This window comes from Homo sapiens, chromosome 6 (assembly GCF_000001405.40).
Source record: "Homo sapiens chromosome 6, GRCh38.p14 Primary Assembly".
Lineage (NCBI taxonomy): Eukaryota > Metazoa > Chordata > Mammalia > Primates > Hominidae > Homo > Homo sapiens.
The window spans coordinates 27,806,034-27,827,030 of NC_000006.12; the positions used below are offsets into that span (position 1 = coordinate 27,806,034).

At 43.1% G+C, this 20,997-nt stretch overlaps 6 protein-coding genes and 1 pseudogene across 6 annotated transcripts, besides 19 other annotated features; 5 read left to right on the forward strand and 2 right to left on the reverse strand.

Annotated features, from left to right (window-relative positions):
- Positions 601–1,201: an enhancer, noted in NCBI's record as "NANOG-H3K27ac-H3K4me1 hESC enhancer chr6:27774412-27775012 (GRCh37/hg19 assembly coordinates)". NCBI's record gives its function as "activates a minimal SCP1, AML or CMV promoter by ChIP-STARR-seq in primed H9 embryonic stem cells {active_cell/tissue: H9 hESC(primed)}" and the evidence as "EXISTENCE:reporter gene assay evidence [ECO:0000049][PMID:30033119]".
- H4C10P (H4 clustered histone 10, pseudogene) lies at positions 1,134–1,304 on the forward strand (annotated as a pseudogene).
- Positions 1,202–1,801: an enhancer, noted in NCBI's record as "NANOG-H3K27ac-H3K4me1 hESC enhancer chr6:27775013-27775612 (GRCh37/hg19 assembly coordinates)". NCBI's record gives its function as "activates a minimal SCP1, AML or CMV promoter by ChIP-STARR-seq in primed H9 embryonic stem cells {active_cell/tissue: H9 hESC(primed)}" and the evidence as "EXISTENCE:reporter gene assay evidence [ECO:0000049][PMID:30033119]".
- Positions 1,202–1,943: a biological region, named in NCBI's record as "NANOG-H3K27ac-H3K4me1 hESC enhancer GRCh37_chr6:27775013-27775612".
- Positions 1,364–1,463: an enhancer, noted in NCBI's record as "active region_24307". NCBI's record gives its function as "activates an Ori minimal core promoter by ATAC-STARR-seq in GM12878 lymphoblastoid cells {active_cell/tissue: GM12878}" and the evidence as "EXISTENCE:reporter gene assay evidence [ECO:0000049][PMID:35858748]".
- Positions 1,446–1,896, reverse strand: H2BC13 (H2B clustered histone 13). The gene has a single exon (NM_003519.4). It carries the CDS (start codon positions 1,871–1,873, stop codon positions 1,493–1,495), a length of 381 nt encoding a protein of 126 aa, NP_003510.1. The 5' UTR covers positions 1,874–1,896; the 3' UTR covers positions 1,446–1,492.
- Positions 1,714–1,943: an enhancer, noted in NCBI's record as "active region_24308". NCBI's record gives its function as "activates an Ori minimal core promoter by ATAC-STARR-seq in GM12878 lymphoblastoid cells {active_cell/tissue: GM12878}" and the evidence as "EXISTENCE:reporter gene assay evidence [ECO:0000049][PMID:35858748]".
- H2AC13 (H2A clustered histone 13) lies at positions 2,140–2,634 on the forward strand. Its single transcript, NM_003509.3, has one exon. The coding sequence runs from the start codon at positions 2,177–2,179 to the stop codon at positions 2,567–2,569; it is 393 nt and encodes a 130-aa protein (NP_003500.1). The 5' UTR covers positions 2,140–2,176; the 3' UTR covers positions 2,570–2,634.
- Positions 2,284–2,483: an enhancer, noted in NCBI's record as "active region_24309". NCBI's record gives its function as "activates an Ori minimal core promoter by ATAC-STARR-seq in GM12878 lymphoblastoid cells {active_cell/tissue: GM12878}" and the evidence as "EXISTENCE:reporter gene assay evidence [ECO:0000049][PMID:35858748]".
- Positions 2,284–3,000: a biological region, named in NCBI's record as "NANOG-H3K27ac-H3K4me1 hESC enhancer GRCh37_chr6:27776213-27776811".
- Positions 2,402–3,000: an enhancer, noted in NCBI's record as "NANOG-H3K27ac-H3K4me1 hESC enhancer chr6:27776213-27776811 (GRCh37/hg19 assembly coordinates)". NCBI's record gives its function as "activates a minimal SCP1, AML or CMV promoter by ChIP-STARR-seq in primed H9 embryonic stem cells {active_cell/tissue: H9 hESC(primed)}" and the evidence as "EXISTENCE:reporter gene assay evidence [ECO:0000049][PMID:30033119]".
- Positions 3,684–4,355: an enhancer, noted in NCBI's record as "H3K27ac hESC enhancer chr6:27777495-27778166 (GRCh37/hg19 assembly coordinates)". NCBI's record gives its function as "activates a minimal SCP1, AML or CMV promoter by ChIP-STARR-seq in primed H9 embryonic stem cells {active_cell/tissue: H9 hESC(primed)}" and the evidence as "EXISTENCE:reporter gene assay evidence [ECO:0000049][PMID:30033119]".
- Positions 3,972–4,261: an enhancer, noted in NCBI's record as "active region_24310". NCBI's record gives its function as "activates an Ori minimal core promoter by ATAC-STARR-seq in GM12878 lymphoblastoid cells {active_cell/tissue: GM12878}" and the evidence as "EXISTENCE:reporter gene assay evidence [ECO:0000049][PMID:35858748]".
- Positions 4,018–4,503, forward strand: H3C10 (H3 clustered histone 10). Its single transcript, NM_003536.3, has one exon. The coding sequence runs from the start codon at positions 4,041–4,043 to the stop codon at positions 4,449–4,451; it is 411 nt and encodes a 136-aa protein (NP_003527.1). The 5' UTR covers positions 4,018–4,040; the 3' UTR covers positions 4,452–4,503.
- Positions 4,356–5,027: an enhancer, noted in NCBI's record as "H3K27ac hESC enhancer chr6:27778167-27778838 (GRCh37/hg19 assembly coordinates)". NCBI's record gives its function as "activates a minimal SCP1, AML or CMV promoter by ChIP-STARR-seq in primed H9 embryonic stem cells {active_cell/tissue: H9 hESC(primed)}" and the evidence as "EXISTENCE:reporter gene assay evidence [ECO:0000049][PMID:30033119]".
- On the reverse strand, positions 8,269–8,744 carry H2AC14 (H2A clustered histone 14). The gene has a single exon (NM_021066.3). The coding sequence runs from the start codon at positions 8,705–8,707 to the stop codon at positions 8,321–8,323; it is 387 nt and encodes a 128-aa protein (NP_066544.1). The 5' UTR covers positions 8,708–8,744; the 3' UTR covers positions 8,269–8,320.
- Positions 8,378–8,527: an enhancer, noted in NCBI's record as "active region_24311". NCBI's record gives its function as "activates an Ori minimal core promoter by ATAC-STARR-seq in GM12878 lymphoblastoid cells {active_cell/tissue: GM12878}" and the evidence as "EXISTENCE:reporter gene assay evidence [ECO:0000049][PMID:35858748]".
- A 244-nt stretch (positions 8,745–8,988) lies between the features above and the next one.
- H2BC14 (H2B clustered histone 14) lies at positions 8,989–9,456 on the forward strand. Its single transcript, NM_003521.3, has one exon. It carries the CDS (start codon positions 9,011–9,013, stop codon positions 9,389–9,391), a length of 381 nt encoding a protein of 126 aa, NP_003512.1. The 5' UTR covers positions 8,989–9,010; the 3' UTR covers positions 9,392–9,456.
- Positions 9,218–9,337: an enhancer, noted in NCBI's record as "active region_24312". NCBI's record gives its function as "activates an Ori minimal core promoter by ATAC-STARR-seq in GM12878 lymphoblastoid cells {active_cell/tissue: GM12878}" and the evidence as "EXISTENCE:reporter gene assay evidence [ECO:0000049][PMID:35858748]".
- Positions 9,448–9,507: an enhancer, noted in NCBI's record as "active region_24313". NCBI's record gives its function as "activates an Ori minimal core promoter by ATAC-STARR-seq in GM12878 lymphoblastoid cells {active_cell/tissue: GM12878}" and the evidence as "EXISTENCE:reporter gene assay evidence [ECO:0000049][PMID:35858748]".
- Positions 9,598–9,647: an enhancer, noted in NCBI's record as "active region_24314". NCBI's record gives its function as "activates an Ori minimal core promoter by ATAC-STARR-seq in GM12878 lymphoblastoid cells {active_cell/tissue: GM12878}" and the evidence as "EXISTENCE:reporter gene assay evidence [ECO:0000049][PMID:35858748]".
- Positions 17,779–17,918: an enhancer, noted in NCBI's record as "active region_24315". NCBI's record gives its function as "activates an Ori minimal core promoter by ATAC-STARR-seq in GM12878 lymphoblastoid cells {active_cell/tissue: GM12878}" and the evidence as "EXISTENCE:reporter gene assay evidence [ECO:0000049][PMID:35858748]".
- On the forward strand, positions 18,059–18,447 carry H4C11 (H4 clustered histone 11). Its single transcript, NM_021968.4, has one exon. It carries the CDS (start codon positions 18,092–18,094, stop codon positions 18,401–18,403), a length of 312 nt encoding a protein of 103 aa, NP_068803.1. The 5' UTR covers positions 18,059–18,091; the 3' UTR covers positions 18,404–18,447.
- Positions 18,212–18,853: an enhancer, noted in NCBI's record as "NANOG-H3K27ac-H3K4me1 hESC enhancer chr6:27792023-27792664 (GRCh37/hg19 assembly coordinates)". NCBI's record gives its function as "activates a minimal SCP1, AML or CMV promoter by ChIP-STARR-seq in naive H9 embryonic stem cells {active_cell/tissue: H9 hESC(naive)}" and the evidence as "EXISTENCE:reporter gene assay evidence [ECO:0000049][PMID:30033119]".
- Positions 19,496–20,137: an enhancer, noted in NCBI's record as "NANOG-H3K27ac hESC enhancer chr6:27793307-27793948 (GRCh37/hg19 assembly coordinates)". NCBI's record gives its function as "activates a minimal SCP1, AML or CMV promoter by ChIP-STARR-seq in naive and primed H9 embryonic stem cells {active_cell/tissue: H9 hESC(naive and primed)}" and the evidence as "EXISTENCE:reporter gene assay evidence [ECO:0000049][PMID:30033119]".
- Positions 20,138–20,781: an enhancer, noted in NCBI's record as "NANOG-H3K27ac hESC enhancer chr6:27793949-27794592 (GRCh37/hg19 assembly coordinates)". NCBI's record gives its function as "activates a minimal SCP1, AML or CMV promoter by ChIP-STARR-seq in naive H9 embryonic stem cells {active_cell/tissue: H9 hESC(naive)}" and the evidence as "EXISTENCE:reporter gene assay evidence [ECO:0000049][PMID:30033119]".

A 20,997-nucleotide genomic window follows, 5' to 3' on the forward strand; every position in this document is an offset into this window, starting at 1 on the left:
AGGTATAAAAATAGTAATTTTTCACAAAGTTGTTATGAAAGCTAAATGATTTAACATATGTAGAGAGCTTTTTAGGACATTATCTGGCACATGATAAGCAGTAAATAATTATGAAAAAGAGCCTTCTTATTTTTTACTAGATAGAATGATGTACTGTAATTTATTGCTAATCAGTCAAATTGCTTCAGTCTTATACTACAAACAGTGCTGCTGGAAACCCCTGCATATATTATTTTGCATATTTTCAAAAATAGTAAATTCCTAGGGGTGAAATTTCTGATGTAAAGATAGGTGCATTTTAAAATTTTGACAGGTATTACCAAATTTTCCTTTATGAAAGCACTACCAATTTGTGGGGCCACCAGCAATGATTGAGAATTAAGGTCTGGGAGGCTTATTCAGGATTTTCCATTCCTATAGCAGAATACTATGACTGGCCTATGGTGAATAGTAGATGCTTAATAAATGTTAGTAAATTGGATGGTAAATAGTATACGAAAAACAGTTGGGTTTGGGTGAAAACAAGAAAAACTTTTAAAAATCTACTCTGGCATCTTTTGCTAGCAGGCATTGACAATTAGGAGAAGGCAAGGTGTTAACTTTTACTGATCTCCCACTTTTTTTTTTGAGACAAGGCCTGGCTTTATCACCCAGGCTGGAGTGCAGTGGTGCGATCTCAGCTCACTGTAAACTCCGCCTACCAGGCTCAAGCCATCCTCCTACATCAGCCCCCTAAGTAGCTGGGACAACAGGGGCGCGCCACCACTCCTGGCTAATTTTTGTGCTTTTTGCAGAGACGGGGTTTTGCTATGTTGCCCAGGCTGGTTGCGAACTCCTGGGCTCAAGGGATCCGCCCGCCTCCACCTCCCAAAGTGCTGGGATTACAGGCATGAGCCACCGCGCCCACCCCTCTAGTTTCCAGTTTAGTCGGAAAGATTAAAAACGCCAGCCTTGTTTTCCTAGTGCTGTTTTTGGTTTTTACCTCGGGTCTTTTGTCGTGCCTTAAAATCATGTCTGGTTGCGCAAGTGAGGGAAAGGATTGGGTAAAGGGGGCGCCACCGCAAGTTGCTGTGCAACATCCAGACATCACCAGACCCACCACCTGGAGCCTGGCCTGGCGGTGTCAAACGCATTCTGGTCTCATCTTTTTAGAAACCCGTGGATGCTCAAGGAATTTCCGGATAACGTGATCCCGGATGCGCTTGACTGACTTACACGGAACGAGCAAAGCGCAAAGCAGTCCCTGCTAAGGACTTAGTTTATGCCCTCAAGCGCAAAGGTCGGACCCTCTATGGTGTTGGTAGCTATATGCACGTACCTCATGTACATTTCACCTTAAATGGCTTTCAAAGAGCTAGATTAATTTAGTGGATAGATCAAAATGATTTATGACCCCTCGCCCCCCAGTGATAGGAAGAGCGAACCAGCTCTTCTTTAGATAATAGTGAGTGGCTCTGAAAAGAGCCTTTGGGTTGGACAAGAGCTTGAGAATTTACTTGGAGCTGGTGTACTTGGTGACGGCCTTGGTGCCCTCCGACACCGCGTGCTTGGCCAGCTCCCCCGGAAGCAGCAGGCGCACGGCGGTCTGGATCTCCCTGGAGGTGATGGTCGAGCGCTTGTTGTAGTGCGCCAGGCGGGAAGCCTCGCTTGCGATGCGCTCGAAGATGTCGTTGACGAAGGAGTTCATGATTCCCATGGCCTTAGAAGAGATGCCGGTGTCGGGGTGGACCTGCTTCAGCACCTTGTACACGTACACGGAGTAGCTCTCCTTGCGGCTGCGCTTGCGCTTCTTGCCATCCTTCTTCTGGGCCTTGGTCACCGCCTTCTTGGAGCCCTTCTTCGGGGCGGGAGCAGACTTGGCCAGCTCGGGCATAATGAAACAATAGTGGCAAAACCAAAACAAGAAGTCGGTCTCCTCTTTTTATATAATAGTTTATGCGGCCGAGGTAGTGGGAAGGTCTCTGCTGATTGGTAATTATCCGTGGATGACGACAGATGCCAGTTTTGCCCAATCAAAATAGGTATCCTGCATAATCGAGTCCTATTGGTCTAAATAAAAATAAAACGTAAGCCAATCGCACAGCTTCCTTTTCGCGCCCAGTAGAGGCTATAAAATGTACGTTTTTCTAGTTTCACTTCAGTCTTTCTTGACCGTATAGATAATAGGCCTTTTGCCATGTCTGGGCGTGGCAAGCAGGGAGGCAAAGCTCGCGCCAAGGCCAAGACCCGCTCTTCTCGGGCCGGGCTTCAGTTTCCCGTAGGCCGAGTGCATCGCCTGCTCCGCAAAGGCAACTATGCGGAGCGGGTCGGTGCTGGAGCGCCGGTGTACCTGGCGGCGGTGCTGGAGTACCTGACCGCCGAGATCCTGGAGCTGGCTGGCAACGCGGCCCGCGACAACAAGAAGACTCGCATCATCCCGCGTCACCTCCAGCTGGCCATCCGCAACGATGAGGAGCTCAACAAGCTTCTGGGCAAAGTCACCATCGCACAGGGTGGCGTCCTGCCCAACATCCAGGCCGTGCTACTGCCCAAGAAGACCGAGAGCCACCACAAGGCGAAGGGCAAGTAGAAGCCTGGATTAGTTTGCAGCAACTCAATCCCAAAGGAACCAAAGGCTCTTTTCAGAGCCACCTACAATTTTGTGGAAGAACTGAGCACTATGTTTAATGTAATTTCTCGTCTTTGCCTACTTCTAAACCACTCCAAAGGTTACGTAGATCAGTCTTCGGTGTCTTGGTTAGGTAGTGACAATCTCGTTAGCTTTATAAAAAGCCTGGATAACATTAAAAGTATTAAACACGCCTTCATCTTAAGCTTAGTGGAAGAAAATTTAGTTTTTCCTAAGCTGGCATTATCCAAGTATGTTGAATTCTGTATGGTTCACCGTCGGGTTTTACTTTTAGTCTGTTGAAGCAAACATGTCTGCTTTGGGGCCAGATGTTTTCTGGGTCTTGGTAAATAACAAACCGGGCATTCGACGTTCAATCCAAATCTAGATCAACGACTTGGATTCTTCATTTCTGAGAAATATCTCTCGAATCTGTATAATTAATTGCATTTGAACATTAATGATTGAGTTGAGAATAATTATTAGACTAATTAGAACAGTTACTTATGGTGCCAGGTAGTTCTCTTTGAAGCATTTTCTGAAAATTCATTGAAATTAAAATTTCCCGAGCTTTCCCACCCCCAGCCACACAAATTGATTTCTTAGTACAGAGATGACTTAATTTGTTTCAGCATGGTAAATTCCACTTTTAAAATATCTGACTTGATGTTTTTAATCTGAATCAGATCTGGATGTACGAATGGAATAGATTCTTAAAAGAAAATGAATTACATTTCTAGAGTATTGGAAAAATAAGCTGCAATGGAATTACTTTAATCTAAAAGTGAAAAGTTCACATAAAGTTGTTTCTTTGACATTTTTTGGCCTTGAATTTCTCACATGCGAACCAGCTTTTCTTGGTTATAAAAATAGAAGTTTTTTAAATTTAAGTGGTCAAAAGATAGAAAATTGAGGGGACAGGTGTATAAGGCTGTCCTGTCCAGTATTGCAGCCACTAGCCAATTGTGGATAGTGATCATTGGAAATTCCATAGCATGAATTTTATATAAAATACACATTGCATTTGGAAAAGTCAGTGCCAAAAAGTGTAAAATACCTAACAATTTTAATTTCGATAACATTGAAATATGTTGGCTATATTGGATTAAGCAAAATATTAAAAATTAATTTTTCCTTGTTTTGTTACAATGTTCTCCTAGATAAGTGTAAATTACTTATATTGCTCTCATTTCCACTGGAAATCGCTAGTATAGTGAACAACTGTATAGCGAAAATAGAAAATAAAATATGGAGACCATGAACTGCTAAGTCTGTCAGAGGAATAGGTGAACAACAAAAATTTGAGTCCTTCGCCAATCCGGTTACTGTTGGGTAGGCCTTCAGCATACTTTTGTCCAATCAGCTTCAGACTCTCACTATAAATAAGCGGCTAGCTTTCTCTTTCTCCTGAAGTGAATCTAGCTCTGAAGGCATGGCGCGTACGAAGCAGACTGCTCGCAAGTCCACCGGCGGCAAGGCTCCGCGCAAGCAGCTGGCCACCAAGGCGGCTCGGAAGAGCGCTCCGGCCACCGGCGGTGTCAAGAAGCCCCATCGCTATCGGCCTGGTACAGTGGCTCTCCGCGAGATTCGCCGCTACCAGAAGTCCACCGAGCTGCTGATCAGAAAGCTGCCTTTTCAGCGTCTGGTGCGTGAGATCGCGCAGGACTTCAAGACCGACTTGCGCTTCCAGAGCTCCGCGGTGATGGCGCTGCAAGAGGCATGCGAGGCCTACCTGGTGGGGCTCTTTGAGGACACCAACCTGTGCGCCATCCACGCCAAGCGGGTGACTATCATGCCCAAGGACATCCAGCTCGCACGTCGTATCCGCGGCGAGAGGGCTTGAGTCTCAAGGACTCACTGATTACATACCCAAAGGCTCTTTTCAGAGCCACCCACATGCGCGCTGAAAAGATCTGTTTCTCTCAGGAATTCTTCCTGGTACTTGTTTTGCCTGTAGTAGATAGGGCCCATTTCCAGACGTTATACAATCTGTTTCGTAAGACTCAGCCTATCCCTTTTTGAATGCTAATTTTGGGAGTCTTAACATCTAATAATGTCCGGCATTTTTCCGTAAGCATTGAGTGTAGCCAAAAGTTCCTTCGTGTATTGCTCTCCCATCTCCGCAGCCCGGTTTTGACCGGATGGTGCTTCTAATTTTCTGCTAACCTGTACTGTGGTGTGTGTATATTTCTTGCCAACACGCCAGAAATAAAACTAAGGTTGTACTGAAGTTGGAAAAATTCAGGTTAATGTAGCTCATGCTGGCTAAAGTGAAACGTTCTCTCCCCGCCCCCCGTTCCTAAGCAGTGTTAAGTTTTCTTTGAATTTTTTCAAGCCGGATTTTGGGCCTGCTTAAACCACTTAAATGTAGTTAATGACAGATGGTTTGAGGTTTAAAAGTCTTCTGGAGAAAGCCCGCCAGAGAACATTCCCTTTGAAGCCCCATGTAAAAATACGTGTGGGAGAGAAAGTGTTTTCTCTGACTTCTGCTGACAGTGGCTAAAACTCTGAACTGTCAGGAGTATTCAAAATAAGACTGCCTTGTAGGTAAGCCTGTGGTAGTTTTTTTGAGCACAGGATAAAATACTTGAGTCTTTGCTTAAATGTTACTTTCTCAATGAGGCTTTGTATGACTAAATAAAATCTGTATAATCCCCACCTATTTTTTTCACCCTAGAATTTGTCACTATATGCTGTACCAGAGTTTGCTGATGTATTGCTTGTGTGTTCTAAAATACAGGCTCATGAGAGGAGGAACTTTTGTTTACTCGCATATCTCCAGTAACGTAGGAGCTTTTGATCAGTATTTGTTGGATAAATGAATGAATGCATGGGTATATAATAGTAAGGAGACATACCCACATGGAAAATCTCAAATGAAAGAAATACATCAGCTTGGTAGATATGCTCAAATCAGCTTCTTGTGGGCCAGGAAAGCCCTTACCTCATCCATTCTTGTATTCAGAATGCTAGATTTCTATAACTTCTTCTGTGAGCTCTCTAGCATTCTTATAAGTATTCAAGATTTTCCCTGGCAAATTGGCTTGTGTATGTGTGTTATCATCTCTGTCTCTCCTTAGCTTAACCTGTGAAGGATGTAAGTGGAAAGATCATAGTATTTTTACACTGAGTTTTAAAAAGCAGTTTTAATTCTCTATCTTGTTTCAGTTGGCTATTTATGTATCTTCAGTTATTAGAATTGGTTACATTCTTAATACACTTTTTTGGAAATTTGATATCAAGATCACTACTGCAACATTCACAATCTGCTCATCCTCATTTTCTTGTGTGTGGGTTCATGATTTCATTATTTCCACATATATGGAATTTAGAAAGATAAATAATTTATGATTAATATTTTACAAATTAAAATAATGCTTTAATACTTTTAATTGGAATCAACACCGTAAGCAAAACAAAATAGAGTTTTTCCCCTCTCAGAAATTAGCTTTCTTCTGGAAAGGAAGATACACTATTTTGGAGGGAAGCAGTGCCTCTAGGACACTTAGGGGCCCAACTGCTAAACCGATGGATATTGTTGAGTGTGTAAATAGTGCATTCCTTCTTTCTGTGCTGGGAAACTAAGAGCTAGTAATAAATCAGGAAGGGCTCACACAGAGACTGCCTGGTATGTACTAATCAATACTCTTGCTGGCTGGGTAGGGCATCCTCTCCTGGAGATATGCAGCCAAGATACTCCCAGTTAAATTTCCAGTTATAATTACATGAGGAATTATTTATTTAAGGGACAGTGAGTAGTTCTAGTTATGTGGAAATGAATACTCTATGTCTTTTCAAAACACTCCATGTACTGAATTACAATAGTCTGGTAACCATCCAACTCAGCTCATTTGTCAGGAGTTCATGACCAGCCTGACCAACATGGTAAAACCCCGTCTTTACTAAAAATACAAAAAATTTAGCCAGGTGTGGTGGCATGTGCCTGTAGTCCCAGCTACTCTGGTGGCTGAGGCAGGAGAATCGCTTGAACTCGGGAGGTGGAGGTTGCTGTGAGCCGAGATCACGCCACTGCAGTTCAGCCTGGGCAACAGAGGGAGATTCCATCTCAAAAACACAAAACAAACAAAAAATAAATAAATTTAAAAAAAAGGACATAATTCTTGTGTCTGAATTTCCTGAGATGGCAAAACTCATAAGTGGCATAACAATCCTTTTCAAGGCCCAAAATAAAAGGACCTTGATATGCCCATACAGAAATATGGACAACAGGCCGGGCGCGGTGGCTCATGCCTGTAATCCAAGCACTTTGGGAGGCCGAGGCAGGTGGATCGCTTGAGTCCAGGAGTTGGAAACCAGCCTGGGCAATGTGGCGAAACCCCATCTCTCCAAAAAATAAAATTAGCCAAACGTGGTGGCGTGTGCCTGTGGTCCCAGATACTCAGGAGGCTGCGTTGGGAGAATCGCTTGTGTCCAGAAGTTGGAGGTTGCAATGAGCCGAGATCGTACCACTGTCCTCCAGCCTGGGTGACAAAGCGAGACCCTGTCTCAAAAAAAAAAAAAAAAAAAAAAAAAGATAACATGAGGAACTGACCTCACTATTCTCAAAATAGCCTTTGGCTTTTCTCAGAAGAGATATTTTTTTCTGAGTGTAGGTATTCACCCACTAGTGCTCTTGGAATCAATAAGTATTCAGAACCAACCTTACCATCGAACATCACCAGCTTGGACTACTATGCTTGGCCATCTACTTATCCAGCAGTTACTAAGTATTTAACTCACTTACTAATTGTAAGTGTTTACAGGATACATTTGTAACATAACACCCAGGTACAAAAAGGTTAATTACATACAGAATTAAACAGAAAAATATCAGAACACATACAATGAAGTTAACTATTATTAACATGTGATTTCAGCAGTACACTAACATAAATACATGTAATTATTGGGTCACTGCCGAACATGTATATGTTTGAAAGACCCTTAATTAGAAAACTTCTAAGGCCAATTTTTTTTTATTCCAAACTCTTGTAAGTGCAAAAATTAAAAATAGAAAACAAAACATGACCAATGTATACATTGGTAAACATAAAACTGTCTGGTTTTGTTTAAATATACCCATTGAGCAGCTCCTTTCCTAGAGGCCAGGAAATAGGGCTGAGGACTCTACCCTCAGTTTTCAATCTAGAGACTGTGAAACTGTAGAGAAACACACTGTCTAGTAGCAATCCATATACTTTTTCTAGTAAGCATATTAAAAACCGAATACTATACTATATTCCTTACAGCCCAGTGAGTTTCCCAGAATCATAAATAAAACCCACCAGTACCTACTATGTAACTCCCAGTAAGAGGCTTTGACTTTTGTCAAAGTTGTGTCCCAGTAAAATGCCTTCAAGATACCACAAACTGGCCTGGCGCAGTGGCTCACGCCTGTAATCCCAGCACTTTGGGAGGCCTAGGCGGGTGGATTACCTGAGGTCGAGTCAGAGACCAGCCTGGCCACCAAGGTAAAACCCCTGAAAACACGTGTTAGCAAACGTACCTTGTTAGTATCTACATTAAGAAAAAAAAAAAAAAAAAAAACCTTGAAATTCAGGCAATGTAAACAGGTTAAAGATTAACACCGAAACATCATGAGTGTACTGTGTAGTGGTGAAGCAGCTGAAAACGGACTCGTGTCATCTTTTTATGATTGTTGAAGTGGCTCTGAAAAGAGCCTTTGTTTTTATGCGCTTTTCAACTCGGTCTTTACTTAGTCTTGTGGTGGCTCTCAGTTTTCTTTGGCAGCAGCACGGCCTGGATGTTGGGCAGGACGCCACCCTGTGCGATGGTGACTTTGCCCAGAAGCTTGTTGAGCTCCTCATCGTTGCGGATGGCCAGCTGGAGGTGACGCGGGATGATGCGAGTCTTCTTGTTGTCGCGGGCCGCGTTGCCAGCCAGCTCCAGGATCTCGGCGGTCAGGTACTCCAGCACCGCCGCCAGGTACACCGGCGCTCCAGCACCGACCCGCTCCGCATAGTTGCCTTTGCGGAGCAGGCGATGCACTCGGCCTACGGGAAACTGAAGCCCGGCCCGAGAAGAGCGGGTCTTGGCCTTGGCGCGAGCTTTGCCTCCCTGCTTACCACGCCCAGACATGGCAAAAGGTCTATTACCTTTACGGTCAAGAAAGACTGAAATGAAATTGGAAAAACGTACATTTTATAGCCTCTACTGGGCGCGAAAAGGAAGCTGTGCGATTGGCTTACGTTTTATTTTTATTTAGACCAATAGGACTCGAGTATGCAGGATACCTATTTTGATTGGGCAAAACTGGCATCTGACGTCATCCACGGATAATCACCAATCAGCACTGACCTATTCTACTCCTAATTTGCATAATAACATTTAAATAAAGAGGACGAAACAGCCCTAAGGTTGTCTTTTATTTTGTTTTCCACCATGCCTGAACCAGTCAAATCTGCTCCAGTCCCTAAAAAAGGCTCCAAGAAGGCCATTAACAAGGCTCAGAAGAAGGATGGAAAGAAGCGCAAACGCAGCCGCAAGGAGAGCTACTCTGTGTATGTGTACAAGGTGCTGAAGCAGGTCCACCCCGACACCGGCATCTCTTCCAAGGCTATGGGAATCATGAACTCCTTCGTCAACGACATCTTTGAGCGTATCGCCGGAGAAGCGTCACGCCTGGCGCATTACAACAAGCGCTCGACCATCACTTCGAGGGAGATCCAGACGGCCGTGCGCCTACTGCTACCCGGGGAATTGGCCAAGCACGCCGTGTCCGAGGGCACCAAGGCCGTCACCAAGTATACCAGCTCCAAGTGAGCCTCTCGCTGCAGTAACAGTTCCGCCGTGACCCACACCCCAAAGGCTCTTTTCAGAGCCGTCCACGTTTCTCAAGAAAGAGCCAGTTCACTGTTAAGTTTGTCTCCCATTAGGTACCCTTTGGGACTCGCTTCGTACATATAAATGTACTTGTATATGTGGGTTTTTTTTTGTTTTTTGTTGTTGTTTTTGAGGTGTAGTCTCACTTTGTTGCCCACCCTGGAGTGCAATGGCACGATCTCGGTTCACTGCAATCTCCACCTTCCGGGTTCAAGCGATTCTTCTGCCTCAGCCTCTCGAGTAGGTGGGACCACAGGCATGTGGCACCAGGCCCTGCTACTTTTTGTATTTTTAGTAGATACGGGGTTTCACCACGTTGGCCAGACTGGTATCGAACTCCTGACCTTAGGTGGTCCACTTGCCTCGGCCTCCCAGTGTTGGGATCACAGGTGTGAGCCACTGCGCCCGGCCCAAAATATTTTAAAGAGGATTATTAGCAACTATGAGTGACCGTGGCTTAGGGAAGACACAATCCCCCGAGACCATGAGAAAGTGGTTCTGAGGCAGTCAGAATGCAACTGTTTTGTACATTTTAGGGAAGCAGAAGTTATAGGTAAAGTCATAAATAAATATGTGGAGGGTTAGTCCAGGCGTGGTGGCTCACGCCTGTAATCCCAGCACTCTGGGAGTCAGAGGCGGGCGGATCACTTGAGATCAGGAGTTTGAGACTAGCCTGGCCAACGTGGTGAAACCCCGTCTGTACTAAAAATACAAAAAATTAAACGGGTGCAGTGGCACGTGCCTGTAACACCAGCTTCTCGGGAGGCTGAGGCAGGAGAATCGCTTGAACCCGGGAGGCAGAGGTTGCAGTGAACCGAGTCGTGATCGCGCCACTGCACTAACCTGGGCAACAGAGCAAGACTCTGTCTCAAAAAAAATCAGGTAAATCAAAGAAAATGAACTGGAAAAAATAATTGCTCTTAATATCACTGTGAATACCTAGTGAGTGTTCTGTAGATGTGTTACAGTTAAATTGCCAGAAATATTCTAGTTATGTTTAAATCAATTTTTAAAATTGTGAGAAAACTCAGATACCTGGAAGGATTCAAAAGGCATCTGCACTGAGATTGCTTTTCCAGAGCCTTTGAATCCTCACACTTCTTTAAAGAAACCCAACCTGAAAAATACTTTCTAACATATGTGTGATTTATGCTAGGAATTTCCAATTTAGGATTCCATTCAATAAATTATCAAAACGTTAGCAAAGACATATACATGTTAATAGATTAAGTAAGAATAATACATTCAAAGAGTGAAGCATATTTAAATAATTCCCAACTTTAACTTTAACTTTTGGTTGTCTATTGAAACTGTAGAATCCAAAGGAAAACTTCCCCTTTGTCCTCTGAAGGTTTGGTGAAAAGTCAACTCACAAAAGGCAGATTAATAGGAGAAAAGGCATACAAATTTATTAATGTGCATGGGGGAGAATCAGTGATTACTCCCTCCCCCTCCCCCCCACGCCCCATGCAATAGAATACAGATGATTACATACCCTTCTTCTCAGGGAAAAGGGAGTTGGGGAAGTGTGGATGATTTTACAGGGGTATTAAGTGATTTTTAGGGGAATTCAATAGGCTTGAATAACATAACAGCCTAGGACAAAGTCTGTTTGGCCCACAGACCAGACAATGATTTGTGGCAAAGGTTTGTCTCCGTGTGTTGACAGACTTCAGTCTTCTTGCGATATGAGTTTTCAGTTAATGAAAACTCAGAGAAGAGACCAGAGGTAATTGTTTTCTTCTTTGGCAGGTCTATACTTTAGAGAGATAAGGGAATTTCAGAGAACAACTTCATTCTCTGCTTTCAGATAGAGAAATGAGAGAGAGGAATAGGGGGAAGGTCCGAAAGACCTTGAGTACTCTTCTTCAGTTCAGTATGTCAAAGCTCCATATTTTGGGGAATCGGTTTCTGAGCCCGAACAATACAATCTCATTAGATGAAGCATCTATTCTTGATACAGGAGTATCATGTTAGAAACAAATTAAAGCTCAAAAGATTTTTTTAAAAAATTAGGCTGAGTGCGGTGGCTCATGCCTGTAATCCCAGAAATTTGGGAGGCCAAGGCAGGCAGATTACTTGAGGTGAGAAGTTTGAGACTATCCTGGCTAACATGGTGAAACCTCATCTCTACAAAAATACAAAGATTACCAGGGTGTGGTGGTATGCGCCTGTAATCCCAGCTTCTTGGGAGGCTGAGGCAGGAGAATTGCTTGAATCCAGGAGGCAGAGGTTGCAGTGCGCTGAGATCACACCACCGCACTCCAGCCTGGTGACAGAGCAAGACTACATCTAAAAGAAAAAAAAAAATTAGGAAAATACTATCCAGAAATCTTGGCAAAATTGTTTATGATTATTATTTTTGAGACAAGGTCTCACTCTGTTGCCCAGGCTGGAGTGCAGTGGCACAATCATGGCTCACTGCACCTTGGCTTCCCCAAGCTCAAACAATCCTCCCACCTCAGCCTCCTGGGTTGCTGGGACTACAGGCACAGGCCACCACCCTGGGCTAATCTTTGTATCTTTTTTGGTGGAGACAGTGTTTCACCATGTTGCCTAGGCTGTTCTCAAACTTCTGTGCTCAAGTGATCCTCCTGCCTTGGCCTTCCAAAATGTTGGAATTACAGGTGTGAGCCACTGTGCCCTGCCCCTATTTTTAATTTTTAATAGAACAAAACAGAATTTTGGGGTCGACACAATCTTTATATGTATGTACAGTCATTTTAGAAGAGATAAAATTCACATTTTGGTCACAGAATACTTAGCAAAACAATATTTAAAAGTTCTTTATTGAGTTGTTTTACCCATACACTAATTGATTTTACTTTCCCCATGCACTTGGAGAACTCTAACCCACTGTTATAGCCTATTGTGTAAGCCAATATTGGAGGTGTTGATGACTATATCTTGTTTTTACAAGTCATGTGGAGTGCAGACTGGGTTTCATTTTTTTTCCCCCTATAGTGCCTAGGTCAATGGTGACCCTACAAAATAAGGTGAATATAATGTGTCAATGTAATATAATGTACATCTTTATGAAGGAAATAAAAAAAATGGATATAAAAACAAAAAAAAAGCTTTAATTAATTAATTAATTAATTTTTGAGACAAAGTCTTGCTGTGTTGCCCAGGCTGGAGTGCAGTGGTATGATCTTGGCTCACTGCAACCTCCGCCTCCTGGGTTCAAGCAATTCTCTTGCCTCAGCTTCCCGAGTAGCTGAGATTACAGGTGCCTGCCACCATACCCAGCTAATTTTTTTTGTATTTTTAGTAGAGACAGGGTTTCACCATGTTGACCAGCCTGGTTTCAAACTCCTGACCTCAAGTGATCTGCCTGCCTCGACTTCCCAAACTGCTAGGATTACAGGCGTGAGCCACTGCACCTGGCCAAGAAGCTTAAATTTAAATGAGACAGAAATAGCACAGAGGCATTTGGGCTTTTGGGAAAAAAGTAGAGGCCGTTCAATGCAATGGGTACATTCAAGCTATGACTTGGAGGTTCATGGTCATGGTTGGGTGGATTCTACCTAGGAGTGCTATGTTTGTTAGTAACTTCACACTTAAATCCAAATGTCACAGCTGATTATTATTAAGCAAGGGTTAAATTCTTTGAAAAGAAAAAAAAATCTAGTTTTCTGTCTTTAGGCTTGTGAGTACTGTGAAGTGTCTCAAAAAGACTAATTCCTACAAGAAATGGTTATGGGCTTGGATTTATTGTGAGACAATAAAAGAGTAACATTCGAATAAGTTTTGAGTCTCACATTTTGAATAAAGGCAGGCACACTAGGCAAGGGGTAAGGGCCGATACTTAGGGTCTCCTTTTAGGGGAAGGATTCTCTGTCTCTTTTTTTTTTTTTTTTTTTTTTGAGATGGAATCTTGCTCTGTCAACCAGACTGGAGTGCAGTGGCATGATTTCGGCTCATTGCAAGCTCCACCTCCCGAGTTCACGCCATTCTCCTTCCTCAGCCTCCCGAGTAGCTGGGACTACAGGGGCCCGCCACCATGCCCGGCTAATTTTTTGTGTTTTTAGTAGAGATGGGGTTTCACCGTGTTAGTCAGGATGGTCTCAATCTCCTGACCTCGTGATCCACCCGCCTCGGCCTCCCAAAGTACTGGGATTACAGGCGTGAGCCACCGCGCCCAGCCAGGATTCTCTTTTTGGGTAGAGATTAGCTGTTTTTGAGTGAAGGGTGGCAAGACACACCACCCCAAAATATGCCACATTGACATAAAGAATATTTGAGTTGAGGGCAACTAAGAAGAAGCAGATACAAGAAAACTCTCTGCCCTCTCCCTATTTGCCTAAAAGCAGGACATAAATGTACGGAGGTGTCTCTCCTCCCCTCTCTACCAGAAAGGGCAAAAATTAATCACCAGAGACAACATCAGACTCTCATCAGCCTGGAGAGGGCACCAGAGCAATCTGCATAACAACTTTACTAACCAGCCTTTATCTACCATTAATTTCGTATATATTTGCCTTCCCACAATTTGTCACTCCTAAAAACTCAAAATCCTTTTCCTTTGTCTTCTAATTTCTCTAAAAACTTATTGATCTTATTAAAGATGCTGTATATAAACTGGAGTTTTAAGTCACATTTTTTAGTTACTCATTTCTGGGTACACTCACATGAGACATGTGCTGTACCCATGTTAATAAACTTGTTTGTTTTTCTCTTCTTAATCTGTCTTTTGTCACAAGGGCTCTAGCTGAGAACTCAGAAGTGTAGAGGGAAAATATTTTTTTCCTCCCCTACATGAGGCTTCCAGGAAAACCAGGTTTTCCTGACAAAATTAACGACAAACTTTGACAAACTTTCTACTCTCTTAGGTATCTTCTTGGTTTTCCAATGTTTTTCTTTCATATCTTAAATCTGTTTACTATGTATGTCTTCATTTTAACTGTATGTATAAACATATTCTCTTTATTGATATTGTGATGATGTTTGAAGTGTGAAATGAAGAACAGGCCTCAAAAAGAGTCTTCAGCCAGCCTCGGTGGTTCATGCCTGTAATCCCAGCACTTTGGGAAGCCGAGGTGGGTGGATCACGAGGTCAGGAGTTTGAGAGCAGCCTGACCAACATGGTGAAACACCACCTCTACTAAAAATCCAAAAAATTAGCCGGGCCTGGTGGCATGGCTACTTAGGAGGCTGAGGCAGGAAAATCGCTTACACCAGGGAGGTGGAGGTTGCAGTGAGCTGAGATCAAGCCACTGCACACCAGCCTGGGCGACAGAGCGAGACTCTGTCTCAAAAAAAAAAAAAAAAAAAAAAAGCCTTCATTTGATTATATTTGATTTTTATTTTAGCTATTAATATATTCTAATAGCTGTTTAGAAGTTATATCAAAACATAAAACTCTAAGCATTTATTCAAATATATTAGAAATTTAAATGACATAAAAATTGTTAAGTACTTTATTTGGACTAGTGCAAATAGCATAAATGTGAATTTAAATATATACAAAAAGTTAAGTAATTGAATATCAATAAAATATTAATAAACAGTAAATATAAATTTTCTATATGTGACTAGTGAGATCTACTAAGCTAGTCTAGCCATTTTTCTCAATTATCTCCATTATTTCCTAAAGTATCCTGTGGAGTAACTCTGATTGCCTTTACTCTCATTAAAAAGATGAGGAAATTAAGACAAAAACAGCAAAAGTATCTGCAACGAAGCCACAATTTCAGTCTAGGTTTGTTTGATTGCAGAGGCTGAACTCACTATTCTCCAAAGTAAATATTTACATGGAAACACTAAAAAACAAAGAAATTACATTTTAAATTGTGTCAAGATTACACTTTCTTTAGAGTTAAAAGAATTCCACAGTGTATCCATGCATGTAAAAAATATTAAATATATGAAAAGACGACTACTGCAATAGATAGGTATCATAAAGTTAATAGAATAATCTTCGGACTGTGATTTATAGATATTTTTTCAGTTTGCCTAATCTGAATTTCCTAAATTTTTAACTACGTACATGAATTTCTTTCTAGTTATTTGGACACCAACTGATGTACTTCAATTCAATTCAGGCACTGATTATTTGGAGTTAGCTGGACCTCACCAGTTAAAGGGCACATTTCCCAACAAGACTGTCCCAACTTCAGACGCCAGCTGCAAGTGGGGTTCCCAGGCCACTTGCTCTTCTGAGCAACTGGCTTCAAATCCAGGGATTCCCACTACCCCTTCATGTTCAATAATATGCTAGAATGACTCATAGAATATAGAAAGTGCTGTCCTTATGATTATAGTTTTATCATAAAGAATACAAATCAGGACCAGTCAGATGAAGAGACGCATAGGGCAAGGCTTGGAAGGGTCCTGAAAGCAAAGCTTCTGTGCCATCTCTATGTGGAACCAGGAGTCACCTCCCTAGGATATCTATGTGTTCACAAACCAATAAACTCCCTGACCTTGGTATCCAGAGCTTTTATGAGGGTTTTATTATATAGGCAGGATTGATTGAATCATTGACCATATGATTGAACTTGTTGGGGCACAGGGAAAGCTTCCCCTATGTACTCTGAAGCTTCACTGAAAATCACTGTCAAGAGGCAGATTAATAGAAGAAAAGGCATACACATTTATTTAACATGTACGCAGAAGCCTTCAGAATGAAGACCTAAAGATACAGGGGAAATTGTCCATTTTTATGCTTAGGTTCAACAAAGTATGGACAGCTATGTAGAAATATGACTGGACATAATGTGTATGATCTAATGCTAAGAGACTGAGTGGGGAAACCCAGCCAGGCCTGTCTAGATTCTTCTTGGGCGCTCTGTGTAGTATTTCTTTTGTATATGGGGCAGGGCCCTCTCTGGAACGGAGGTCCTACGACTTACAGTCAAACAAGGTAAGTCAAATAATTTCTTTGTGGCCAGTTTTTACACGAAAAAATAAAATTTTTAGGTTTCTTATTGTTTTTTTCTTTTCTTTTCTTTTCTTTTTTTTTGAGATGGAGTCTCACTCAGTTGTCTAGCCTGGAGTGCTGTGGTGTGATTTCGGCTCAATGTAAGCGCCGCTTCCCAGGTTCAAGAGATTCTCCTGCCTCACCCTCCTGAGTAGCTAATATTACAGGTATGTGACACCACGCCCAGTTAATTTTTGTATTTTTAGTAAAGACGGGGTTTCACCATGTTGGCCAGGTTGGTCTCGAAGTCCTGACTTTAAGTGACCTGCCTGCCTCAGCCTCCCTAAGTGCTGGGATTACAGGCATGAGCCAGCGCGCCCGGCCTAAACAAGCTTATATTAAAGATGACAATTTATTACTTATAAACAAATCAATAAATCTTGCTGGGTAACTAGTTCATTAACTCAAGACTCAATCAACAAAACTAAAAGTAAATTCTGAATGTAACATAGAATTTAAAAACCATAATACTCAATGCTGGTAAACATACACAGCAGTTACTGCTGGCAAAAGTGAATGGAATAAAACTTTTGAGGAAAATGTAGTAACAGTTATCAAAATACCTTAAAATCTGCATCCTTTGTGACAAAGCGCTTCAATTCTACATTTTCCTCAGGAAGTAAATTTTGTACAGTTCTCCTTTAAATTAGGAAAAGAAAATTAGCACATTATTGCTAAGTACTAGAAATACTGTGAAAGTGGACCTAGAAAATTCTTATGATGGAATATTAAGCAGATATAAATTACTGCTTTTAAAATTTTTCCTAATGTGAATTTTCTAAGCTTTTAACCGTGAACATAGATTCCCTTTGGCAAACCACCTTGATTAAATTATAGACAGAATAGAATTTTGGTAATAGTTCCGAGTATGTATAATGTTAAAGGTGGTACTTAATCCGCAGGGAAAAGATGAATTATTTAAAAAATCTGGTTGATTAATAAATTCCTAGGGAATTGGTTAACACTGTAGCAGGCAGAATTCAGGAGAAGAAATAATAAAGACATTAAAATCACTTTTGTAAACTTTTTAAATAAGGGAAATTGATTAAAACAACGCGAAGTTGTAAAATGCCATATACTGCATACATTTTGTGGGAAAAAATGTGCATTTATCTGCTCACCAAATTATCTTATTAGCTAGCAGTAGAGCTCTTTGTGTGATGGGAAGATGGGATAACAGGCTGTTGTTACTGTACTGGTTTTTTTTTTTAATATATTTAAAAAAAAGAGTGTCTCCTAAAGTGTAAGCGCTATCATGCTGGACTAATGTTTTAATTTAATTTAATTGTTGTCTTGGTAGAGATGGGGTCTCGCTATTTTGCTCACGCAGATCTCAAACTCCTGACGCCCAGGTACACTCCCATCTCGGCCTCCTAAAATGGTGGGATCACAGACGTCAGCCACCGAGCCCGGTCACTTTTTTGTATTCCCCACAGTATTGATGTATATCTTCTGCGTTCAAAAGCAATTTTTTAAAGCCTCATAACGTGGTAACAGAATACTTTGCACATTACAAAATTCAGAACACGGAAACAAGAAGCTCGCTTTTTTTTCCCCCCTATTTCGGTTTGGCCCTTTAGATTTCCCCTCCCCCACCGGGGCGGGACTTCCCGCCGACTTCTTTCAGGTTCTCAGTTCGGTCCGCCAACTGTCGTATAAAGGCGCTGCCTCAGGCCAGAGGCCTCACAAAGCGTTGGGTGAGACTCCTCTTGCTCGTCATGTCTGGCCGCGGCAAAGGCGGGAAGGGTCTTGGCAAAGGCGGCGCTAAGCGCCACCGTAAAGTACTGCGCGACAATATCCAGGGCATCACCAAGCCGGCCATCCGGCGCCTTGCTCGCCGCGGCGGCGTGAAGCGCATCTCCGGCCTCATCTACGAGGAGACTCGCGGGGTGCTGAAGGTGTTCCTGGAGAACGTGATCCGGGACGCCGTGACCTATACAGAGCACGCCAAGCGCAAGACGGTCACCGCCATGGATGTGGTCTACGCGCTCAAGCGCCAGGGCCGCACCCTCTACGGTTTCGGTGGTTGAGCGTCCCTTTCTATCAATAAAAGGCCCTTTTCAGGGCCACCCTACTTTCTCAGCTGAAGAGTGGTAACACTGAGGAGTGGTTTTGGTAGGTACGGAATTTTGCTTGGTTCTGAGTCAGTTCTGGGGGGAACAGTTTTTTGAACACAGCGGCACACGTGTGGCCATTCACCCGGGGTCACTGTAGGCAGGACTAATTACGAGATGTAATGTCTAAACTTGCTCAAAATTCGTAAGCTTGTTTACGTAATGGAGAAAATACTCGTACACAGAATGTGCAGTACCAGAAACGTTTATGTAACCCCCGTAGTGAGCTTGACAGTGGTAATCGGAAATCGTTTTTGAAAAGCCTCCAAATCCACAAGTATTTGTGGGTTTTTTTTGTTTCGTCTTTGTCTGCGAGTTGGAGTGCAGCGGCGCGATCTCGGCTCACTGCAACTTCCGCCTCCTGGGTTCAAGCGATTCTCCTGCCTCAGCCTGCCGAGTAGCTGGGATTACAGTTTTGCGCCACTACACCCAGCTAATTTTTGTATTAGTAGAGATGGGGTTTCACTATGTTGGCCAGGATGGTCTCGATCTCCTGACCTCGCGATCCGCCCGCCTTGGCCTCTCAAAGTGCGACCTCTTAAAGAATTTTAAGATAATTTTTTACTTTCCTCCACCCTCATTAAGGTATGACAACTTACATGTACAATCTGATCTGACATATATTCATTGTGTAATGATTACATCGAGCTTAACATCCACCTCACTTTCTGTGGTGAGAACATTTAAGGCCTATCAGCAATTTTCCAGTATCAAGTACATTAACTATTATCACCATGCTTTAAAGTAGATCTCCAGTATTTATACCTCCCGAGTCCCATTGTTACCTCCATCCTTGTTCTCTGGCAATGACAATTTTACTCAGTTCAACATTTTTAGATTCCTCATGTAAGTGAGATCACGCAGTTTTTGTTTTTCTGTGCCTAGTTTGTTTTACTTTGCATAATGGTCTCCAGTTTCATCTATAAGAAATGACAAGATTTATTTTAAGGCTGAGTAGTATTTCATTGTATATATGCCCCATTTTCCTTATCCATTCATCTGGCATTGGACACTTGATTTGAGTTTAAATTCATAAATGGAATCTAGTGAGTAAAAGCTATTTTTTGTTTTCTTTTTGGTGAGGTTCAGTCACTTATTGTTATGATGATGAAAATGATGGATGTGTCATTGGTGACATCAAAAGATCTGGAAGGACAATAATAGTCGCATTGATTCAGTTGAAGCAAAAGTACAAAACTCTGTAGTCCAAGTAATTACCACAAAGGAATTGTAATCATACTTTTTTTTTAATTTGAATTTTTGTTAAGGGAAAAAAATTGTATTTTACATGAAAAACAATTATTTATTTATTTATTTATTTATTTTATTGATCATTCTTGGGTGTTTCTCACAGAGGGGGATTTGGCAGGGTCATAGGACAATAGTGGAGGGAAGGTCAGCAGATAAACAAGTGAACAAAGGTCTCTGGTTTTCCTAGGCAGAGGACCCTGCGGCCTTCCGCAGCGTTTGTGTCCCTGGGTACTTGAGATTGGGGAGTGGTGATAGGCGGTGATAGGTGAGATAGGCGGTTTTTCCCCATCTCAGTAGATGGAACGTACAATCGGGTTTTATACCGAGACATTCCATTGCCCAGGGACGGACAGGAGACAGTTGCCTTGCTCTTGTCTCAACTGCAAGAGGCATGCCTTCCTCTTATACTAATCCTCCTCAGCACAGACCCTTTACAGGTGTCGGGCTGGGGGACGGTCAGGTCTTTCCCTTCCCAAGAGGCCATATTTCAGACTATCACATGGGGAGAAACCTTGGACAATACCTGGCTTTCCTAGGCAGAGGTCCCTGTGGCCTTCTGCAGTGTTTGTGTCCCTGGGTACTTGAGATTAGGGAGTGGTGATGACGCTTAAGGAGCATGCTGCCTTCAAGCATCTGTTTAACAAAGCACATCTTGCACCGCCCTTAATCCATTTAACCCTGAGTTTGACACAGCACATGTTTCAGAGAGCACAGGGTTGGGGGTAAGGTCACAGATCAACAGGATCCCAAGGCAGAAGAACTTCTCTTAGTACAGAACAAAATGAAAAGTCTCCCATGTCTACCTCCTTCTACACAGACACGGCAACCATCCGATTTCTCAATCTTTTCCCCACCTTTCTCCCCTCTCTATTCCACAAAGCCGCCATTGTCATCCTGGCCCGTTCTCAATGAGCTGCTGGGCACACCTCCCAGACGGGGCCGTGGCCGGGCAGAGGCACCCCTCACGGCCCGGATGGGGCGGCTGGCCGGGCGGGGGGCTGACCCCCCCACCTCCCCCCCGGACGGGGCGGCCGGCCGGGCAGAGGGGCTCCTCACTTCCCAGTAGGGGCGGCCGGGCAGAGGCGCCCCTCACCTCCCGGACGGGGCGGCTGGCCGGGCGGGGGGCTGACCCCCCCACCTCCCTCCCGGACGGGGCGGCTGGCCGGGTTGGGGGCTGACCCCCCCACCTCCCTCCCGGATGGGGCGGCTGGCCGGGCAGAGGGGCTCCTCACTTCCCAGTAGGGGCGGCCGGGCAGAGG

Coding starts and splice junctions, on each gene's coding strand:
- H3C10 (NM_003536.3), top strand. CDS start 4,041: ATGGCGCGTACGAAGCAGACTGCTCGCAAGTCCACCGGCGGCAAGGCT.
- H2BC13 (NM_003519.4), bottom strand. CDS start 1,873: ATGCCCGAGCTGGCCAAGTCTGCTCCCGCCCCGAAGAAGGGCTCCAAG.
- H2BC14 (NM_003521.3), top strand. CDS start 9,011: ATGCCTGAACCAGTCAAATCTGCTCCAGTCCCTAAAAAAGGCTCCAAG.
- H2AC13 (NM_003509.3), top strand. CDS start 2,177: ATGTCTGGGCGTGGCAAGCAGGGAGGCAAAGCTCGCGCCAAGGCCAAG.
- H2AC14 (NM_021066.3), bottom strand. CDS start 8,707: ATGTCTGGGCGTGGTAAGCAGGGAGGCAAAGCTCGCGCCAAGGCCAAG.
- H4C11 (NM_021968.4), top strand. CDS start 18,092: ATGTCTGGCCGCGGCAAAGGCGGGAAGGGTCTTGGCAAAGGCGGCGCT.